We start from the raw sequence: 21074 nt of genomic DNA, 5'->3' as shown, positions 1-21074 counted from the left end.
TGAGCAATGATCTCTAAGACCATTTAGTGTGCTAAATTGAGAAGCCAGTAGGAGACAATTTTGAACCATTACTAAGTTATTTGAGCTTTCGATGAGAAAAGCATGCAATTCCCTTACTCAGGTTATGTTGGGATTTGAAATGTAGACTGAAGTATTTCTAGCTTCCCCATAATCAATTTCAATTTTGCCAAGCTTTGAGGCGATGGGAATTCAATGAGGGTCATTAATCCTGCTGAGAATAAAGCAGACACAGTCCACAGAGTTTCAGGCTGCTTTTCTGATTGTGTGTAGACTCAGCCATTGTACATAGGCCATGGTCCAGCCAGCTGCACAGGAGCTCCGTGGAGGCCCAAAGGCAAAGTGAGAAAGTAGGTATCAAAAAAATTGGGATCATGTCTTTGTTCCAGCCACTGGGTCCTCAGCCCCGTGGGGCACGGTTGTCCTTCTCCTCTGACCAAAGCACATGTGCACTGCCAGCCTCTGGTTCAGGGACCTTCTGCCCTGGTGAGCTCTCACTCTCTGGGCTACTGAGAAGCTGTCTGCAACCATCATGTACCTGTTTTTAGTTGTGACTGCTTTGCTGGATGAAATGTTCGGGCATTGATATAACCTCAGCGAACAGTAAGGCATAATTTGTTCATACCATGTCCTCCTTATTAGAACCATCAGAGAACTGTGAGATCTCAGAGTTAGATATCTATGCTTCTTTGGGTCTTAAAAACCCTTTGAATTATATGAACAGTGATATTTCCTACTTACACTAACTGCTAGGAAGTTCTGGATCTGTGTGTTCTCAGTTCTAACAAAGTGTCCAGAACCTGAGTGGATACTTTATTTTTTTCTGTACTCATTTGCCTTTTTCTGGCTTTATTTTCCTGTCCTTTTTTTTTGCCCTTTTCCCATTTCTCTGCTTTAATTTTTTTTCTGAATTTCAAGTCCTCGTTGAAAATAAAACTGGTGATACAAAATTATGTTTACAGAAAAAAGCAGCCCTTCAGCTTATTATACTTTTATTTTGATGAGCACCAAAATATCTTTTTCTTCAAATCAATACATGAGGCTTTTTTACTTAACAAGTTATTTCCTAATTTGAGACATCCGTTCTCACATATGATCATCTTTTGCAAGTTAAGTCACCTACACTTATTTATCAGCTTTGAGAAATCTCCTCCAACCACAGTATTTCCACGATGAAATGCACATTTTCATGAAACACACATCTTTTATAAATGTGCTGTGATCTGCAGCCATAAAATGGCCATCCACAGTTATTGCTTTGCTACTGAGCCCGTCTGCACCAGCACCTCCCCTGACCATCTGTTGCCCAAACCCATGCATCCTGCGAAGGCATTTGTTCACATTGCTTCCTGTCAGCCTCCAGCCTTCTCTCCTTCTGTCTAGTCACAACCTTGTCATGAGTTCTAGTGCCAGGACAACTGTAGAACTATGATCTGATTCCAGGGCCCAAAACGTCATGGTAAGCTTGAGACCCCTGATTGCCACTCTTATGGAAGCCCCATTGGCCACGCTGGCATCTTGTATTTGTGGACCACAGGGTATAGAGATTAAACCATCTCATTAGCACCCTCTTGTGAATAGAAAAGAGAACCCCAGAGACTGGAGGGAGAATCCAGCCCAGACTGAGGGATGGGCAATCCTCAACCAGCCTCCCCGCAGCTGGGATTCGAAATGTAGACTGAAGTATTTCTAGCTTCCCCATCATCAATTTCAATTTTGCCAAGCTTCGAGGCAAAAATGGACACTTTTGTCTGTCCAGACACAGACACTTCTCCATAAGCATCTTTGGCAAAAGGAACTTCAGGATCAATTTTCTTCACATATGCATGGAATTGGTTTGAAAAGAGCCACACCTGTTTACCCGCAATGCAGCTAAAAAAGAGCCACATGCAAAGAAAGAGTGGGATATAGTGAAAATACCATGGGATCTGGTATCAGTGACCCTGGAGCCTACCACGGCAGAGTCTGAGCTGGGGGTGTTGGTTTCACCATTTGAAAATATGGCTAATAAGGTGTTCCTTATTTTTTAAAAATGCAAGGGATAATGTATATAAAAGAATGATGAAATGTTTGGTTTCATATTTTATGGTGCTTATTTACATACTTATTATTCCAAACAAGAGGTTATGCTTTAAAATCTGGAGAGGTATTTCCGACCTGGTTTCTCCAAACTTATTACTTTTATGGAGAGGAGAAAATAGGAACCTATCTTATCTATTAAGATTGTAAATTAAATCAGTACTTGATACCCTCAGTAGCAGATTTAATTGCCCATATAAAAAGAGAAGGTAAGTTTTGACAATAAATGTAAATGTAAACAAGGTCATCCTGAAACATCACAGCATTCTGGCACAGTTATTACCTATATTGATTATTTTGTTTCTGTGATAGTTAATTTTATGTGTCAGATTGGCTAGGCCAACCTACTCAGCTATTTGGTCAAATACCAGTCTCGAAATTGCTACGAAGGTATTTTTTAGATGAGCTAAACCTCTAAGTCAGTAGACTTTCAGTAGGGCAGATTGCTTTCCATGTGTGTGGGGGCCTCATCTAGTCAGTAAAGGCCTTCAGAGAAAACAGACTGGAATTCCCTGGGAAAGAGGGAATTCTGCCTCCAGACCGTCTTCAGAGTCTAGATGCAACTCTTTCCGGGGTGCCCAGGCTTCTGGCCTGCCCTGCAGATTTTGGACTTGCCAGACTTTATGATTAAAGGAACAAATTATTATATAAATTATGAATATAATTCTTTATATGAATCTCTCTTTATCTCTGTCTCCTGCTCTTCTCTCTCTCTATAAATAATATATATATGCAGTTATCCATATACATATATATACACATATATACATTCTGTGAACATATATAAACACACACACACATGCACACATCTTATTGGGTCTGTTTCTCTGTAGAACCCTGACTAATACAGTTTCCCTCCTTTTCCCCAAGAACAGGAGAAACTGAACTGTGAGTGGAACAAGCCACAGGGAGACAAGAAATGCTGTCCCCTCACCTCTCTGCTCAGCGTCTTCCCAATGGTAGTAAAAATGTTTCCCTGCTCTGCAGATGAGCTGCTCAAGCTCCCTGGTGGGTGCAGGGGAGCTCCACTGCCTGTGTGTGACTGTCTCTCTCTCCTCTGTCTTTCTTTCCCTTCCCCACCCACTTCCTGAGTGGGAGGCTGGCTCATCTTGGGGCGGGTGGACCAGGGAGATGCCCTGTGGCAATGGCCTGTGAAAAGGCAGGGGTCACACGCACATGGTGCTCTGAGCTCTGGGAGGAAAAGCACTTCCAGCAGGGGAGAGCAAGTCCAGGCCCCACTCCAGAGCTGGCCATGTCCTCTGGCTATGTTTCATAGCCCTAAGTAGTGTTCAGATTTCATTTAGATGAAAACAAACTTTTGACCTAATTGATATTTATTTAGATATTCATTTCATTTATCCACTTGATCCTTTGGATTTGGAGCCTAGCAGAGTGTCCTTTCTCTCCAAATCACCATCATCACTAACTGAGGCAGAAGCAACATGCCAGCCAAGTTGGTGGCCTCCCCACAACAATGGCTTCCTGGTGCTGCAGGTGGAAGGGAGCTGGAAGTACCAGCATTCATTCCAAATTCACACACTATCGAAAGCCCACCGGAAAATGACTTGCTCATAAATTACCCTGAATTTGTGTTTTAGATAAGATGTGAGTAAATTATAGCTATTATCTATTTTCACTGTTTCTAGTGTAAGTGAATGATAAATCCTCCTCCTCCCTTTCCTCTTCCTTCTTCTTTTCTTCCCCCCCTTTCTTTTTTCTGTTTTTGGAGACAGAGTCTCACTCTGTTGCCCAGGCTGGAGTGCAGTGGCACCATCTCAGCTCACTGCAACCTCTGCCTCCTGGGTTCAAGTGATGCTGTGCCTCAGCCTCCAGAGTAGCTGGGATTACAGGCGTGTGCCACCACGTCCAGCTAATTTTTGCATTTTTAGTAGAGACAAGGTTTCACCATGTTGGCCAGGCTGGTCTCAAACTCCTGACCTCAAGAGATCCATCCACCTTGGCCTCCCAAAATGCTGAGATTACAGGCGTGAGCCACCATTCCCGGCCTCTTCCAATGTTATAAAACATGGTATCACTCATTTAAGCTTCTAGAGCTAGTTGTCTACACACCTTCATTCATTTACTCAGCAAATAATAATTGAGGGTCTGCCACTTTATCAGATACTATTAGACCCCATAGTTTTCATCACAGGCCAAAAAACCAAGTTTCCTTGGTTTCCAACATTCTAACTGATCATGGCAGTGGCGGATACAGAAGAACCAAAAACCCCAAAATGTACCACATGAGATCATAAGTACTCTAAAAAAAAGAGGAGAAGAGAGAACAGGTAAAATAAGGTCATGTGGGAGGTGGGTGTGAAATGGTGATGAGTGTGGGCCTCCCTGAGAAAGTGACATTTAAGTCAAGACTTGCAGGAGGTAAGGGCTGTGCCCTGAGGATCCCTGGTGAAGAGCAGTCAAGGAAGAAGGAGCAGCACTCACAAAGGTCCTGAGGCTGGAGAGGAGGTGCTATAATCCACACAACTGTAAGAAGCAGGTGTGGGCCTACGCAGAGGATGGAGGGAGCTAACAGAAAGTGAAGATGAGACTGTAGCTTCAGTCTGAGGGAACATAACGAGCCACTGCTTTGATCACTGGAAAGATCTTTGCCACGACTTCAATACTCTACTCTAGGAACCAAATTTTGAGCCTACTTTGGCATTTGTAGGAAGAATGTGTATCTTTTCCTTTATTGCAACTAAGGCAGAGAATTCTCTAACTCTAGGAGAAGAGCTCATGTCCCCTGGCATTTTCCTGACCCCAAGCTGAGATGCTTGGCATGAGTTAAGAATGGAAAGAGCTGTTTCACTAAATTTGTACCAAACATTGGGTGTTGTTTTGGATCCGTGGAACAGTGGGTGACACCAGCAGGAAAAGAAGAATGTTTTTCCCACTGGAGGTTGGGACCCCAGATGAAGCAGCAGCTTTAATCGGCTTTGAATCAGCTTTGAGTAACCAGTGAGCAAATCCATGTGTCTCTGACCAGGGAGCTGTTCATGCTGCCTGGACCTCCTATATGTCTGAGTGAAAGAAGACAAAACAAAAGAAAACAAAACAAAGAAACAGAGAGAGAAGAGGAAGATAAAGTGTGAGTTCTAATGAGCTTTATTTTTCTAGGAACATGTCTTTTTCATATACATTTTCAAATGCAAGATACAAAATTGTATATAACATCGTCTTACCATTATGTAATGTTTTAGAAGACTATACTGAATTCCATGTATTATTTCTGTCATTGGTTGTGTCCTTGCCCCTTTTTCCTCAGTCAAGCTCACTGGTATTTATCAATTTCATGAGTAATAAGATTGGTATTATTCTTTCTTATATATTTAGCAAAATTTACTGGTGAAGCCTCTAGGTCTGGAGATATTGCAGAAGTAATATTTTTAATTTAAAAATGTATTTTCTAGGCCTGGCATGGTGGCTCACACCTGTAATCCGAGCACTTTCGGAGGCCAAGGAGGGTGGATCACCTGAGGTCAGGGGTTCAAGACCAGCCTGGCCAACATGATGAAACCCCGTCTCTACTAAAAATACAAAAACAAATTTGTCAGGGATGGTGGTGCATGCCTGTAATCCTAGCTACTTGGGAGGCTGAGAGGGGAGGACTGGCTGAACCTGGAAGGTGGAGGTTGCAGTGAGCCGAGATCGCGCCACTGCACACTCCAGCCTGGGCCACAAAGCGAGACTCCATCTAAAAAAAAAAAATGTATTTTCTTATTAGCCATTGGATTATTAATGTCTAATATGTCTTAGGTCAGTGTTGGTATGTTACATTCAAATTTTGAAAGGAACCACTTTTGGCCTTATTGAACCTCTCTATTACATGTTGTTTATGTTAATTAATTAATTAATTAATTAATTAATTTTTGAGACACAGTCTCGCTCTGTTGCCAGGCTGGAGTGTGGTGGGCAATCTCAGCTCAATGCAACCTCTGCCTCCTGGGTTCAAGTGATTCTCCTGCCTCAGCCTCCTGAGTAGTTGGGACTACAAGCAGATGCCACCCTTTTTTTTTTTTTTTTTTTTTCTGAGATGGAGTCTCACTCTGTCACCCAGGCTGGAGTGTAGTGGCGCCATCTCAGCTCACTGCAACCTCTGCCTCCCAGGTTCAAGCAATTCTCTGCCTCAGCCTCCTGAGTTGCTGGGATTACAGGTGCCTACCACCACACCCAGCTAATTTTTTGTATTTTTAGTAGAAATGGGGTTTCACCATCTTGGCCAGGCTGGTCTTGGAACTCCTGACCTCATGATCCACCCGCCTCGGCTTCCCAAAGTGCTGGGACTACAGGCGCGAGCCACCACATCCAGCCCAGTGCCCAGCTAATTTTTGTATTTTTAGTAGAGACAGGGTTTCACCATGTAGGCCAGGATGGTCTCAATCTCTTGACCTTGTGATCCGCCCGCCTTGGCCTCCCAAAGTGCTGGGATTACGGGCATTTATATTTTTCAGAGTACCTGTAGGAAATACATGGAACATGCAATTTAAATTATTTGAGAATAATAAAAGGACTTTTACGCAAGTATGGGCCAGGGTGGGAAAATCACAGGGATGGATAATACAGTATCCTGAGAGGTGACGCTGGGGTTATAATTACAACCTCTGGGTCCAAAAGGGCAAGGGAAGGAGCAACTGCAGAAAGCCAGCGCCAGAGGTCTGGCAGAGAGGGAGGCCTGAGAGGAGGCAGTTGGGCTGTCCACGTGGAGAGAGAGTGGGAGGAACCAATGTTACGGCCCCACACTCTTACCTTCTTCCAGGGCACCACAGAAAGCCCAAAGATGAAGTAGCCCACAGATATGGTCAGCCTCCCAAAGGGCAGATGTGAATTGAGAAAGGTCAACTGTAAGTCTGGAGGGGCAAACAGAAAGTGCTCAGCACAGGCTCCTCTTGCTCCTCTGTCTCCATACTTTTTCCAGGTAAAAACTCTGTGTCCTCAACACAGGAAAGGCAGCTTGACCATTTGAGGTAATGCTGATTCTGTCATATGCCCATGTAAAACATATACCCAGACCAGCATTCTCTAGCATACCCAGATGGATAACCTTAAAAAGTACTTCAGACACTAAAAACACTAGAACAAAGACTAAAGGATTAATGAAGATCAAAGCAGGAAGCCCAAAGTTTGACTAAAACGAGTTCCCAAAAGAGAGAACAAAGAAAATGGAGAGGTACAAATTGCCTAAAACAATGGATAAATGTATTTCAATGTTAAAGAAAGACAAGTGTCTTCAAGAAAAGGCCCACCAAGCTAAAAATATAAAAGAAGAAGATACAAATTGACCTTCATCTAAAGATAATATCATAACAAAAATATTCTAAAAATCTTTTGAAGAGAAAACAAGAAGGGAAGCTATAAGAAATTATACAAAGCTTGTCATTTGAGAGAAAAGCCACATTTTTAGTTGGAAAGTTTTAACTGTTAAAAGTCAGCTGTCTTGAAGTTAACCCAAAACTTTCATACAAGCACAATAAAATTGAAAGGTGATTTTAAAATTCATATGGAATTGAAAATATAAAAATATGCATGAAGCAATTTTGAAAGCAATCTTGCAAATCCAGGCCTTAAGAAATAAGGACTAATTAAGTCCTTATTTAAGAAAGAAGGACTTTTTCCTACCAGATAAAATAATAAAATGTCAAAACCTACTACTGAATTCATTAATTTTCCATAAATAAGTTTATGTAAAAACCACATATTACATAAAGTGTATTACTTTGAAAATACATTCTTTCAGTCTCCCATTTCATAAAATATATGTAGGATGGCAGGTATTCAAGGGTATTGTAGAAAAGATAAGAGACACTAAATATCATTACTGCTGTATCTTGATGAAGTAGGGGGTATCATGGCTAATGCATATGGCTGTGCCGGTCACACACTGCACAGCTCTAGAAGAGGTCTATGTGATTAACACTTCCTAATGTTTTTAGTAGACAGTTTGGCCTGTAAGCTGTGATGGCCCTGAATGAGGTCATCAGCTAAAAGACGGAGAGTATATCTCAGAATCTTCAACAATAGATTTTAGGTCCTATCATTAGTGGTTTAGGAGCATCCTTACATAAAATAAGACTGATGCCTCTGGCATCTTCAATTCCTTCACAAGCTCCAAGGAGGAAAATGAGGCTAATGTGCAGAATAAGGCAGAATTAAGAGAGAAAGCAGAGTGATGTTCACGCGGTGGTGGAATAAGAGCGTTCTACCATTATCGCCTAGCAGAAGCATCAAACTTGACAATTATCTATAAGAGCACTTTTGTGGGGTCCAAGAATCCAGCAGATAAAGTTTTAGCACGCCATCAGAACAAAAATCTGAGAATAGATGCACTGAAAAAGATAAGAAAAACAGTTTCACTTTACCTGCATTACCTTTCCTCCAAGGCATCATAGCTCAATGCCAAGAGAGATCATTGCAGTCCATGATTTCTCCTGGTGGGTGGGGAGAGTGCAAGCATGGTTCATGAGTGCCCAGCTCCCCCAGCTTTGTAGGATACTGAACAAGACACCCACTTTCTCATCTTATCCAAACTACAATGGTGATTGGTATGGTTTAGTGGTTGGAAGAGAACAGTGACAGGGAAGAGAGGTGGGGATCTAATTTACTGCTCTGTGATTCCATCAGGAAGTGCATCTATAAGGCACTTGGAACACATTGTGTTTGGACCCCCTGAACTGGTGCATGGGCACTCAAAATGTTTGGCACAACTCGCTCCCAAGATTGGTTCCCTAAATGCACCTGCGTGAACAGCAAATGCAAGCACTTCATGCAGGTATCTGTATCAACTATGCAGGGTTGGAGGAAGACACACAAACTTGAGCATTTCAGTGCACCACTCTAGAAAATCAAAACAGGAAGCTCTCAGCCCTGGCCTAGCTTTGCAAGATTGAAAGAAAGTGTATAATCTTAAGCATTTCCCTCCCCCAAAATGGATAAGAAGTGTGGAGTGGGTGAATCCACAGAAAAAGTCTGAGAGAGCCTCATAATCACTAACCAATCTGGTTGGTGAAGGTATTTATAGTAAGTAAAAACTGAAGGAAGTTACTCCTTCTTCAAATGGAAAGACAGCAGCAGAAGACTTCAAGAAACATGAAAAATCAAGAAAACTTGATTTTTCCCAAAGAAATTGAGATCTACAAATTGCCTGACAAAGAATTCAAAATAACTATTTTAATGAAGCTCAGTGAGCTACAAGAAAACATAGGTAGACAACTAAATAAAACAGAAAATAGGAATCAACAAAAGAATTCCAATGAATAGATAGAAATCATGAAAAGGAAACTGAACAGAAATCCTAGAGCTGAAGAACACAGTGAATGGAATTCAAAAAATGCAATAAAAACACCAACAGACTTGATCAAGCAGAAAAAAGAATCTGTGAACTTGAAGAAAAGTCATTTGAAAATATCCAGTTAGAAAAGGAAAATTTTTTTTAAAAAGAATGAAAAGGAATGAAGAAAACCGATGAGATTAGTGGAACACCATCAAGACAGCTAACATTTGCATTATGGATGTTCTAGAAGAAGAACAAAGACAGAAAGCGGAGAAAGCTTATTTAAAAAAATTATGGCTGAAAACTTCCAAAGTCTGGGGAGAAACCTGGACATTCAGGTATACAAAGCTTGCAATCTGTAATAAGGTTCAATCCAAAGAAGGCCTCACAAGTCACATTACAGGTTGAGCATCGCTAATCTAAAAACCTGAAATCTGAAATGCTTCAAAATCTGAAACTTTTTGAGAACTAAAATGACGCTTAAAGGAAATGCTCATTGGAACATTTCAGATTTCAGATTTTCAAATTAGGGATGCTCAACTGGTAAGTATAATGCAAATATTTCAAAATCTAAAACAATCTGAAATCTGAAACACTTCGATTCTATGCACTACAGATAAGGGATCCTTCACCTGCATAACGAATTGTCAAAAATTGAAGACACAGAAATTTGAAAGCAACAAGAAAAGAGGCTTGGCACATACAAGCAAACTCTGATAAGACTATTAGCAGATTTCTCAGCAGAAGCCTTACAGCCAGAAGATAGTAGAATTATATAGATATATTCAAACTGGTAAAAGAAAGAAAGATACTGCTAACCAAGAATATTTTACCTAAAAAAGTTGTTCTTCAAAAATGGAGATCTAAAGCCTTCTAAACAAACAAAAGCTGAGGAGTTCACCACTTTAGACCTGCTTTATAAGAAATGCTAGAGAGTTCTTCAAGATAAAATGAAACAAGGCTAATTAATGACATGAAAACATATGAAAGTATAAAACTGACAAATGGAAGTTTATCAGAATACTCTAATAATATTCTAATACTCTAATAAATTCAGAATATTCTAATACTGTAATGGTGTGTAAATCACTTAAAGTTTAAAAACAAAAGTATTAACAAAACTGTAAATACAATAGTCTGTGGATACATAATATTAAAAAGATATAAATTTTGACATCATAAACAAAAAATAAGGGGTGTAAAAGTATAGAGATTTTGTATGTGATCAAAGAAAATTTGTTATAAGCTTAAAATAGACTTTTATAACTAAAAGGTATTTCCTGTAAGCCTCACGGTAACCATAAACCAAAAACCTCTAGTTGATATATAGAAGAAAAAGAGAAAGGAATCAAAGCATACCACTCATTACAAAAAAATCATCAGTTCACAAAGGAAGATAGCAAGAGAGGATGAAACAAACAAAGAATCTACAAGGCAACTAGAAACCAATTAACAAAATGGCAATAGTAATTGCTTACCTATCAATAATTACTTTAAATATAAATTGCTTAAATACTCTAAAGATAGACTGCTCAATGGATTGAACACACACACACACACACACACACACACACAATATGGTACCTACAACGGATTCACTTAAGCTTTAAGAACACACTTAGAGTCAATGTAAATAAGGAAGGTTATATTCTATGCAAATGGAAACCAAAAGAGAGTAGGAATAGCTAAATTTATACAAAATAAACTTTAAGTCAAAAACTCTCGTAAGATACAAAGAAGATCATCATATAATGATAAACAGGTCAATTCATCAGGGGATATAACAATTTCAAATATATATGCACCTAACATTACAGCACTTAAATTATATAAAGCAAATATTAATAAATCTGAAGGAAGAGACAGACTGGATACAATAATAGTAGAAAACTTTAATACCTCACTTTCAACAATGGACAAATTGTTCAGATAGAAAGTCAATGAGAAAATATTGTAATTGAACTGCATTTTAGACAAAAAGAGGGCCTAACAGACATATACAATGCATTCTGTCAAAAGGCAACAGAAGACTTTTTTTCTTGTACATATAAAATTATTTCCAAATTACTTTAAGTATTAGGCCACAAAACACGTTTTAACAAATTTAAGACGATTGAAACTGCATGAAGAATATCTTCTGATTACAATGGTATGAAACTAGAAATCAATAAAAAGAAAAACTGGAAAACTCACAAATATATGCAAATTAAACAACATTCTTCTGAGCAACCAAAGGGTAAGTGGTAAATTTTCCAAGAGGGAAATTTAAAAAGATCTTGATACAAATCAAAATGGAAACACAGCATACAAAAACTTATGGGCTAGGCCGGGTGTAGTGACTCATGCCTTTAATCCCAGTACTGTGGGAGGCCAAGGTGGGCAAATCACCTGAGGTCAAGAGTTCGAGACCAGCCTGGCCAACATGGTGAAATCTTGTCTCTACTAAAAATACAAAAATTAGCTGGGCATGGTGGCATGTGCCTGTAATCCCATTTACTTGGGAGGCTGAGACAGGAGAATCACTTGAACCCAGGAGGCGAAGGTTGCAGTGAGCAGAGATCATGCCACTGCACTCCAGCCTGAGCAACAGAGTGAGACACCATCCCAAAAATAAATAAATAAATAAATAAATAAATAATAAATTATGGGCTACAGCAAAAGCAATTCTAAGAGAGAAACTTTTAGTGATAAAATCTTACGTGAAGAAAAAAGAAAGATATTAAATAAGTAAGATAACCTTATACCTCAAACACTAGAAAAAGAAGAACAAACTCCAATGTTAGAAAGAAGAAGGAAATCTTAAAGATCAGAGCTGAAAAACATGAAGTAGGGACTAGAAAAACAACAGAAAAGTAAACTGAGTTGTTTCTTAAAAGACATACAAAATTCACCTTTTGCTGGACTAAGATAAAATGTGACAGGACTCAAATAAACAAAATCATAAATCAAAGTGGAGACTTGAAAACTAATACCACAGAAATAAGAAGGACCATAAGGGTCTATGATGAACAATTATATGCCATAAAAAAGATAACCTAAAAAAGTAGGTAAATTCCTAGAAACCATATCTTACCAAGTCCAAAGCATGAAGAAATGGAGAAACTAAACATACCAGTAATGATTAAGGATATCAATTTGGTTGTTTAAAATCTCCATCAAAAAGAAGTCTATGGGCCAGGAACAGTGGTTCATGCCTGTAATCCCAGCACTTTGGGAGGCCGAAGAGAGTGGATCACTTGAGGTCAGGAGTTCAAGACCAGCCTGGCCAACATGGTGAAACCCCGACTCTACTAAAAATACAAAAATTAGCCAGGTGCGGTGGTGCACACCTGTAATCCCAGCTACTCAGGAGGCTGAGGCACAAGAATCATATGGCTTCACTACTGAATTCTATCAAGCATTTAAAGAAGAATTAATGTCAGTATATCCCAATTGCTTCAAAAAAACTGAAGATGATGGACCACTTCCAAACTCATTTTACTATGCCAGCATTACCCTGATATCAAAGCCAAACCAGAACACTACAAAAAAGAGAAAATCACAGACCAGTAACCCTGATGAAAACAGATCCAAATATCTTCCATAAAAGACTAGAAAACCAAATTCAATACCGCATTAAAATGGCCACAGTTCTACAGGCTGTACAAGAAGCATGATGCCAGCATCTGCTTCTCCTGAGGGCTTTTGTGCTGTGTCAAAACATGGTGAAGAAGGTAAAAGGTGAGGCGGGCATATGTGAAATGAGAACAAACCCAAGGGGTATCCTGGATTTGTAACAACCTACTCCAAGGGGAACTAATTTATTACCCCAAAAACCAATCCAGTCTTGCAAGATGAGAACTCACTATTGCAAGATGGCACCAAGCCATTCATGAGACCCCAAACACCTGCCATGAGGCCCTACTTCCCAATACTACCAAATTGGGAATCAAATTTCAACATAAAATTTAGTGGGGCCAAATAAACCAAATCCATATCATACCACCATGATTAAGGAGATTTATCCCTGGGATGCAAGAATGATTCAACATACAAAAATCAGTAATTGTGATATGTCACATTAACAGCATAAAAGATAAACAACATATCATCATCTCAATAAATGCACAAAAAGCATTTGACAAAATTTGACATCCTTTCCATGATGAAAAAACGCTCAGAAAGGCTCACGCCTGTAATCCCAGCACTTTGAGAGGCTGAAGCAGGAAGATCGCTTGAGCCCAGGAGTTCAAGACCAGCCTGGGCAACATAGTGAAACCCTATCTCTAGTTAAAATAAACAAACAAATAAGAACATATTTCAACTTAACAATGGCCATTTATGACAACCCGACACCAACATATTTAATGGTAAAAAGCTTTCCCCCTCATATGAAGAACAAGGCAAGGATGCTCATACTCGTCCCTTTTTTCCCACATAGTACTAGAAGTCCTAGCCAAAGTGATTAAGCAACAAGGATCAATAAAAGGCATACACATTGGAAAGGAAGGCATACAACTGTTTGTTCACCGACATCATAATCTTTCATACGGGCATACTGCATTTTATTCTGCTTCACTTTATTGTACTCTGTAGATATTGCAGTTTTCCTTTTTTTTATTATTGTTTTTTGTTTTTTTTGTTTTGTTTTTTGTTTTACAACTGAAGGTTTTTGGCACCTCTGCATTAAGCAAGTAGATCAGCACCATTTTTTTCCAACAGCATGTGCTCACTTCATGTTTCTGTGTCACATTTCGGTAATTCTCACAATATTTTGAACACTTTCCATGACTTCAACACATCAACCTTCCGTCTCAAAAGAAAAGCATCCCATGCACAAACACACCATGTCCAAGGTTGTTCTGGGCTTGTTCCCACGTTATTTTAGGAGCCTAGAATATCTGCTTTTCACCAGTCCTAATCTGACATCTCCAAAGTCCAGTCTCCTACCTTTCTAGATTTCCCTCAAAGTTGCAGTCCCTTGTTTATTATTTTGTGAGGGGAAGATGAAAGGGTTCATGATCTTTACTACAATGGCTTCCTGACCCACAGAAAAGGTTCAATGTTTTCTTGCACTTTATTCTACCTGAGCTAAACTGCATAAAAACATTAAACTCTCATTCTTTTTTTTTTTTTTTTTTTTTTTTTTTTGAGACAGAGTCTTGCTCTGTCATCCAGGCTGTAGTGCAGTGGCGTGATCTCAGCTCACTGCAAGCTCTGCCTCCTGGGTTCAGGCCATTCTCCTGCCTCAGCCTCCCAAGTAGCTGGGACTACAGGCGCCCACCACCACACCTGACTAATTTTTTGTATTTTCAGTAGAGACAGGGTTTCACCTTGTTAGCCAGGATGGTCTCGATCTCCTGACCTCATGATCCACCTGCCTCGGCCTCCCAAAGTGCTGGGATTACAGGCATGAGCCACCATGCCCAGCCTAAACTCTCATTCTAATTGGACAATTTTAAGAAGTATTTTACTCCCAGACTTATAAAACAAGCCTACAGCCAGGCACAGTGGTGCACGCATGTAATCCCAGCACTTTGGGAGGCCGAGGTGGTGGATCACTTGAGGCCAGGAGTTCAAGACCAGCCTGGGCAACAGAGCGAGACTCAAACTCTACAGAAAATTTAAAAAATTAGCTGGACGTGGGGCACCCGCCTGTAGTTCCAGCTACTCAGGAGGATTGCTTGAACCTGGGAGTTCAAGGTTGCAGTGAGCCGTGACCATGCTACTCCACTCCAGCCTGGGTGACAGGAGACCCTATCTTAAAAAAAACAAACAAAAACAAGCCCACAACACTACTTCTTTAGTTCTGAAGCACTGTAAAGTATATTTTAGATTAATAATTTCCAAACCAAGAAAATGAAAGCCTATATTAATTATAAGACCCCAAACAGAAAAAATCTTGTAAAACGATCAAGACCATAAAATTCACATACCTTCTATTTGGTCAATGCAGAGACACAGATCTTTGTTCCGGAGTTTGAATTTAAATGCAAAGCTTCAGAGCCTGAAAATGTCTAAAATTAGACCCATGACTGACAACTGGCCTAGGCTCAATGTCTTTGGAATGTGCTCTACTAAATTTGCTACCATTTGAATGTGTTCCCTCCAAAATTCAGGTGTTGCCAATGTGATGATATTAAGAGGTAGGACCTTTAGGAGGTGATTAGGCCAAGAGGGCTCCTTCCTCCTTAATGGGATTAAGGCCCTGATGAATGAGGCTTCACACATTGGACTAGCTTGCTCTCCTGCCCTTCTGCCTTCTGCCTTCTACCATGTGAGGTGGCAACAAGAAGGCCCTCAGACACCAAATGTTGGTATTTTCATCTTGGACTTCCCAGTCTCCAGAACTGTCAGAAAATAAATGTCTGTTCTTTATAAATTACCCAGTCTCTGGTATTCTGTTATAGCAGCATAAAACAGACTAAGAGAAAATTCCTTGATGATTTTTCAACAAGAGACAGTGTCACTACTTCTGGTGAGTAGTCCCTAACATGTTCTCAAATTCTCCTTTTATGCAAACATAACATTTTTTAAACTTAGTAGTTCCTTTTCCTAAAAATAACCAAATACAGGTTAAGGACTGATTAGTATTAAATATAAGTACAACTTTGGTGCTAAAAGTTAAGAGCTTTTGTTTTCCAGAAAATCAAATCCAAAGAATTCAGATAAAGCAATTTTCTCAAAGATGTATCATCAGTTAGAGGTAAAGCCAGAGGTGAGAAATTATATTCCATTCCAAATACAATGTGCTTTCAATTATTCCACATTAATAGTAGTTTACAAAGGAGATTTAGAGAATTCCTCAAATCAAAAATGACGACATTTATGAAATGTCATTCTTATATAAAATACCTACTTCAGCCATCTCCTCTTCTTCCTCTTCCTCTGAAGTCACTTCTTCTGTTGTCCCATTCTGAAACAGAGAAAGAATCTGCCAGGGCTACACAGGCTGAATACAGGGTGAGTCAATTAGAAGACCGGTGCCATAGCTTTAGGGACAAACTCTCAACCATCTGTCACTGCAGTGCCACTAGCAGAGAGCTTATTAAAATTAAATGTTTATTTTTAAATCCAACTTTGATTTGACAAACAACAGTTATCAGCTTTTAAAAACGGAACAAAGAATAAAAGAATTAGGAATAAAGAAAAGCAATCAGTCAAATACAAAGCAAAACCGAAAAAAATGTTAAAATGTAATCTAATTTAAAATAAGAAAACATTTTACTTACATGGCTATGTGTATAAGATCAATGGCTTATTTTGTTTAAAATAAATATCACAAACTATCCATTCCTTAAAATAACTACCTTTTTAACTTTGAAAAGCCTGAATCATTACATAAATTCAATTGCCTTACATTTTAAAAGATCAGATGTGTTATTTATAGACACTTGACAAAACTAAGAATTATGAAATGATTACCACCTTACTAAAAGGCAAATTTTAGTTTTAAAAACATGTTATTTACTACAAAATACCTCCCTACAAGACAGAATTTACCAACTGACACAATTTACAATGATCAAGTTTAGAAATGAATTTAATGGGGTTTTAAGAAGGGCCTTCATACACAGTTTGGGCAAAGTTCAAAAGATAAGCTTCCTGGCCTGGGCACAGTATATAAATGCTTCTTTAACCATGAAGGCCAGTACAGGTTAAAACCCAGAATATGTAGAAGATCAAAAAACTAGGATTCAGAGATCAAGTAAGACCAACAAAGGTCTCAGCAGTATCTAAGCATCTGTTCTTAGATACTCTGATGGAGTAATTCTTAAGAAAAACAAACCCATGATCACAGAGGGTATTAGAACTCTTCTGGATCAGTCAGCTGGAGAAAGCCATGTAGATAAACATACCCATGAAGAATTAACTTATATTTGCTTTAAATCTGTATCTCTTTAGACATTCTTTGTCTTCTAAAAACTAAATGGAAAAAGGAAGCAAGCAGCAGCTTCCAAAATGTAATTCAACCCTTCTTCATTTCCCTAAATTGTTATACTCCACATTAAACTATTCTGGGTATCTAAAGAATATATTCTTAGCCTAAAAGTCCCAAAGACTTTGGTTGCATCAGTGATTGAAAGAGCATTTTTGAAATGCTCATTTCAAAGCATACCCAGAGAATCTGTTTTTGGTTTTGTTTTTTTTTGAGACGGAGTCTTGCTCTGTTGCCAGGCTGGAGTGCAGTGGCACCATCTCGGCTCACTGCCACCTCCGCCTCCTGGGTGCAAGCGATTCTCCTGCCTCAGCCTCCCAAGTAGCTGGGACTACAGGCGCGTGCCACGATGCCCAGCTAATTTTTGTAGTTTTAGTAGAGACGGGGTTTCACCATGTTGACCAGGATGGTCTCGATCTCTTGACCTCATGATCCGCCCACCTCGGCCTCCCAAAGTGCTGGGGAGAATGTGTTTTTAAAAAGCTCTCTGAGGTGATTCTGACACGCATCCACATCTGTAACCATCAGCCCAGTTACTATCCTTCATTTTGCAAATGATAAAGCTGAGCCCCCACCCCTCAAAAAGGGTAATTTAATCAAAACAAAAAGTGAGTTAGGGTTGTAAAATCCTAAGATGAATTTCAAGATGTGGCCTGGTCCTCTTTCCAAAATCCCACCAAAATGACAGTATTTTACTAAACAGAATAAGTCTGACACAGCAGCAGAAAAATAACAGATACAAGGAGAATACCCTTAGTGAACCAAAACTACAGGGACATGCCGGAAGACACAAAGCAGATGGAATTAGACTGCTGGGCTTGAGAAGGCCACAAACCCAATCCAAATAATGGAGGGACCACTTTTTTCCAGAAGAATCTAACATTCTTTACCGTTCTTGTCCCAACTACAGTTGGTAAGAATCACCCTCCCATATAAGAAGCCTATCTTGATGGCCTCTTACTATGAGTGTGAAAACCAGAGGGAAAAGACAAAATGTTTTTTAATATAACTCAACACAGCAGCAAAATCTTAAAACAGACTCCATCTCTGCCTTTTAACTCAGGAGCTAGAAAGCTCTCCTGCCAGCACCTCCCCATCCTAGTGTCACAGGCGGAGCATGGGTCTGCAAACCAGGAGAGGGAGGCCACAGCAGAAAAGAATGACAATTCTGAAGACACTTGTGATGGTTAATACTCAGAGTCAACTTGATTGGATTGAAGGAATCCCAGCACTTCGGGAGGCAGAGGTGGGTCATTTGAGGTCAGGAGTTTGAGACCAGCCTGGCCAACATGGTGAAACCCCGTCTTTACTAAAGACACAGAAGTTAGCCAGGCGTGGTGGCGGGCGCCTGTAATCCCAGCTACTCCGGAGGCTGAGGCAGGAGAATAGCTTTAATCCGTGGACTGTCAAGAGACGTAGGCTGCAGTGAGCCGAGATTGCGCCACTGCATTCCAGCCTGGGCGACAGAGTGAGGCTTTGTCTAAAAAAAAAAAAAAAAAAAGTTGTTTTTTTTTGTTTTGTTTTGTTTTTGTTTTTTGAGAGAAGTCTCGCTCTTATCCCCCAGGTTTGAGTGCAATGGCTCGATCTCGGCTCACTGCAACCTCCGCCTCCCGGGTTCAAACGATTCTCCTGCCTCTGCCTCCCAAGTAGCTGGGATTAAGTAGCCTGCCACCACGCCGGGCTAATTTTTGTATTTTTTAGTAGAGATAGGGTTTCACCATGTTAGCCAGGCTGGTTTCGAACACCGAAAATCTTAAAGGCCTTTGCCTTTCCCCGCCTGGGCTCAAAAGCCGCCATTCCCCGCCCTGTCGCGGTCCCCGGAGCAGGCCGGCTGACTGAGGGCGACCATGGGTCCCGAGAGGGCTCCCGCCACCGCGGGCTCCCACCTCGGGGGGCGGCGACGGGGGCTGAGAGGGGCCAGTGGCCCCCAAGACAGCCCCATGCGAGGAGCCGGAGAGACAGACGCGCCCGCCGCCTCCTCCCACCCAAGCCTCGCGCAGTCCCGGGGCGGGCCGGGCCAGTTGCGGGAGAAAGGGGCGGGGAGCCTCGCCGGGGCAGGTTCCCCTTTGTCCCGGGACTCCGGGCACCCCCTCTCCGCCCTCTTCCTGCCCCGCGAGGCCGCCGCCGGGCGCCTCACCTCATGTTGCAGTGGAGCGTGAGCCGCAGCTGAGCCTCCTGGTTCTCGTGGAAGATAGACGCCAGCAACTTCAGTTTGGCCTTGAATCTTGACACAGACATCTTCCCCTCATCTCCGGCGGGAAGGGCGTGGAAGGGGAGCCGTCTGGAGCCGCTGTCATGGCCACGACCACCCCGCGGGGCCGCCTGGCCGAGCTCTTGTGAGCCTAAAGACCCGCCTCTTCCTGCAGCCTCCACTCTCCTGGGAGCGCGGCTGGAAAATGGCAAGGGGCACCAGGTCTTGGCGGGAGCTGTGTGGCGGCCTGGGGGGCTGCTCCCTTTGTAACCGACTCCACCGACAGGAGGCGCGGCCCCTGTCAAGCCGCAGCTTAAAAGGGCAACAGGACAACAGAACCACCGCCCCCGCTACCGCCTGGGAAAGGGCTGCCCCTACCCCGCCCCCGTCCCCGTCGCCCCTACCCCGCCCCCATCCCCGTCGCCCCTACCCCCTCGGCGCACCCTTTTCCGCGGGTGCACAAGTCCAGAGCGTGCGCGCGCTCCCGACTGCCCCCTCCTCCCTTGACCCAGCACCTTTCTGCCGGGCACAGGATCCCGGGGCTAGACTGCCTGGGCTCAAGTTCCAACTTAGCCACTTGCTGGCTGTGAAATACTTGCTTTAAGCAAGTATTTAAGCCTCAGTTTCTTTCTTTCTTTCTTTTTTTAACTTAATCCCAAATGTGATAGTCTCAGTTTGTTGATCTGAAAAACAGAAATTATTTAGTGAGAGTCTATGTGAAAACTTTAAAGTTTTTAAAGCCACTGCCTGGCTCAGGAAAGTCCTCAGCTTTAGCTGTTAAAGTTTTAAAAGCCACTTTAAAGGTTTTAAAGCCACTGCCTGGCTCAGGAAAGTCCTCAGCTTTAGCCTTTATCAGCTATGATTATTATTGTGTTGGCTACACGTGCATTGAGGCAGGAAAATGCTCAGGGATAACAACCAAGTATGCAAATTATCTCATCAGACCCAGCGACAGGCATATGTGTGCATGCTCATGTTTCAGCTCAGAGCCCTTTGTCTAGAAGGCTCTTGAACTCAAGAGGCCCAGGCACTATCAACTTGAATTTGCAGTGGAGCCATCACTTTTGTTGATCAATGAAATTGACATAACGCTCTTTTTTTTTTTTTTTTTTTTTTTTTTTTTTTTTTTAACACCAACCGTGTGCCTCGAGCTAACTGTGTCAAGAAAAGCATGCTTCAGTTGGCTGGAGTGAGCAATTTAACTTGTGGAGGAATGAGAAACGTTAGTGTTGAGAATAGAAACATAAAACCCCAGGGTAAGGTAGGAACCTACCTGAGAACCTTGGGTGAGTCATCCACCCTTTGGGGGCTCCCTGTGCCTCAGTGGAGTGAAGAATTATCCCTTCCTCGCCTTGCTGCCTCCTGGGAAAGTTGATAAGAATCAAGTGAAATTAAGACTGTCAGGCTGTCATTGTCATCCCTATCAGGGGAAGGGTCCTCTGGGGCCTGAAGGGGCTTTGGGTGAAGCACAGCTGTGTTTTCTCCAGGGACCCACCGTGTTCCCATCCTCCGCCATTGTGGCCCAGCCACTGCCTGTGCAAGTGTCACCCAATCCTTCCACAGGCCATCAGAATTCCACTTCCACCCAAGAGGGGAAAGGA

At 41.4% G+C, this 21074-nt stretch overlaps 1 long non-coding RNA gene across 1 annotated transcript; it reads right to left on the bottom strand.

Annotated features, from left to right (window-relative positions):
- Positions 1-993: 993 nt before the first annotated feature.
- On the bottom strand, positions 994-19498 carry LINC02249 (long intergenic non-protein coding RNA 2249). The gene is made up of 3 exons (NR_026771.1): positions 19420-19498; positions 16203-16259; positions 994-5117 (listed from the first exon to the last, which is right to left on the bottom strand). It is a non-coding gene; the product is annotated as a long intergenic non-protein coding RNA 2249 (long non-coding RNA).
- Positions 19499-21074: the final 1576 nt, after the last annotated feature.

This window comes from Homo sapiens, chromosome 15 (assembly GCF_000001405.40).
Source record: "Homo sapiens chromosome 15, GRCh38.p14 Primary Assembly".
Lineage (NCBI taxonomy): Eukaryota > Metazoa > Chordata > Mammalia > Primates > Hominidae > Homo > Homo sapiens.
Note: the sequence above shows the minus strand (reverse complement) of the source record. Positions and strands in the feature narration are given on the sequence as shown.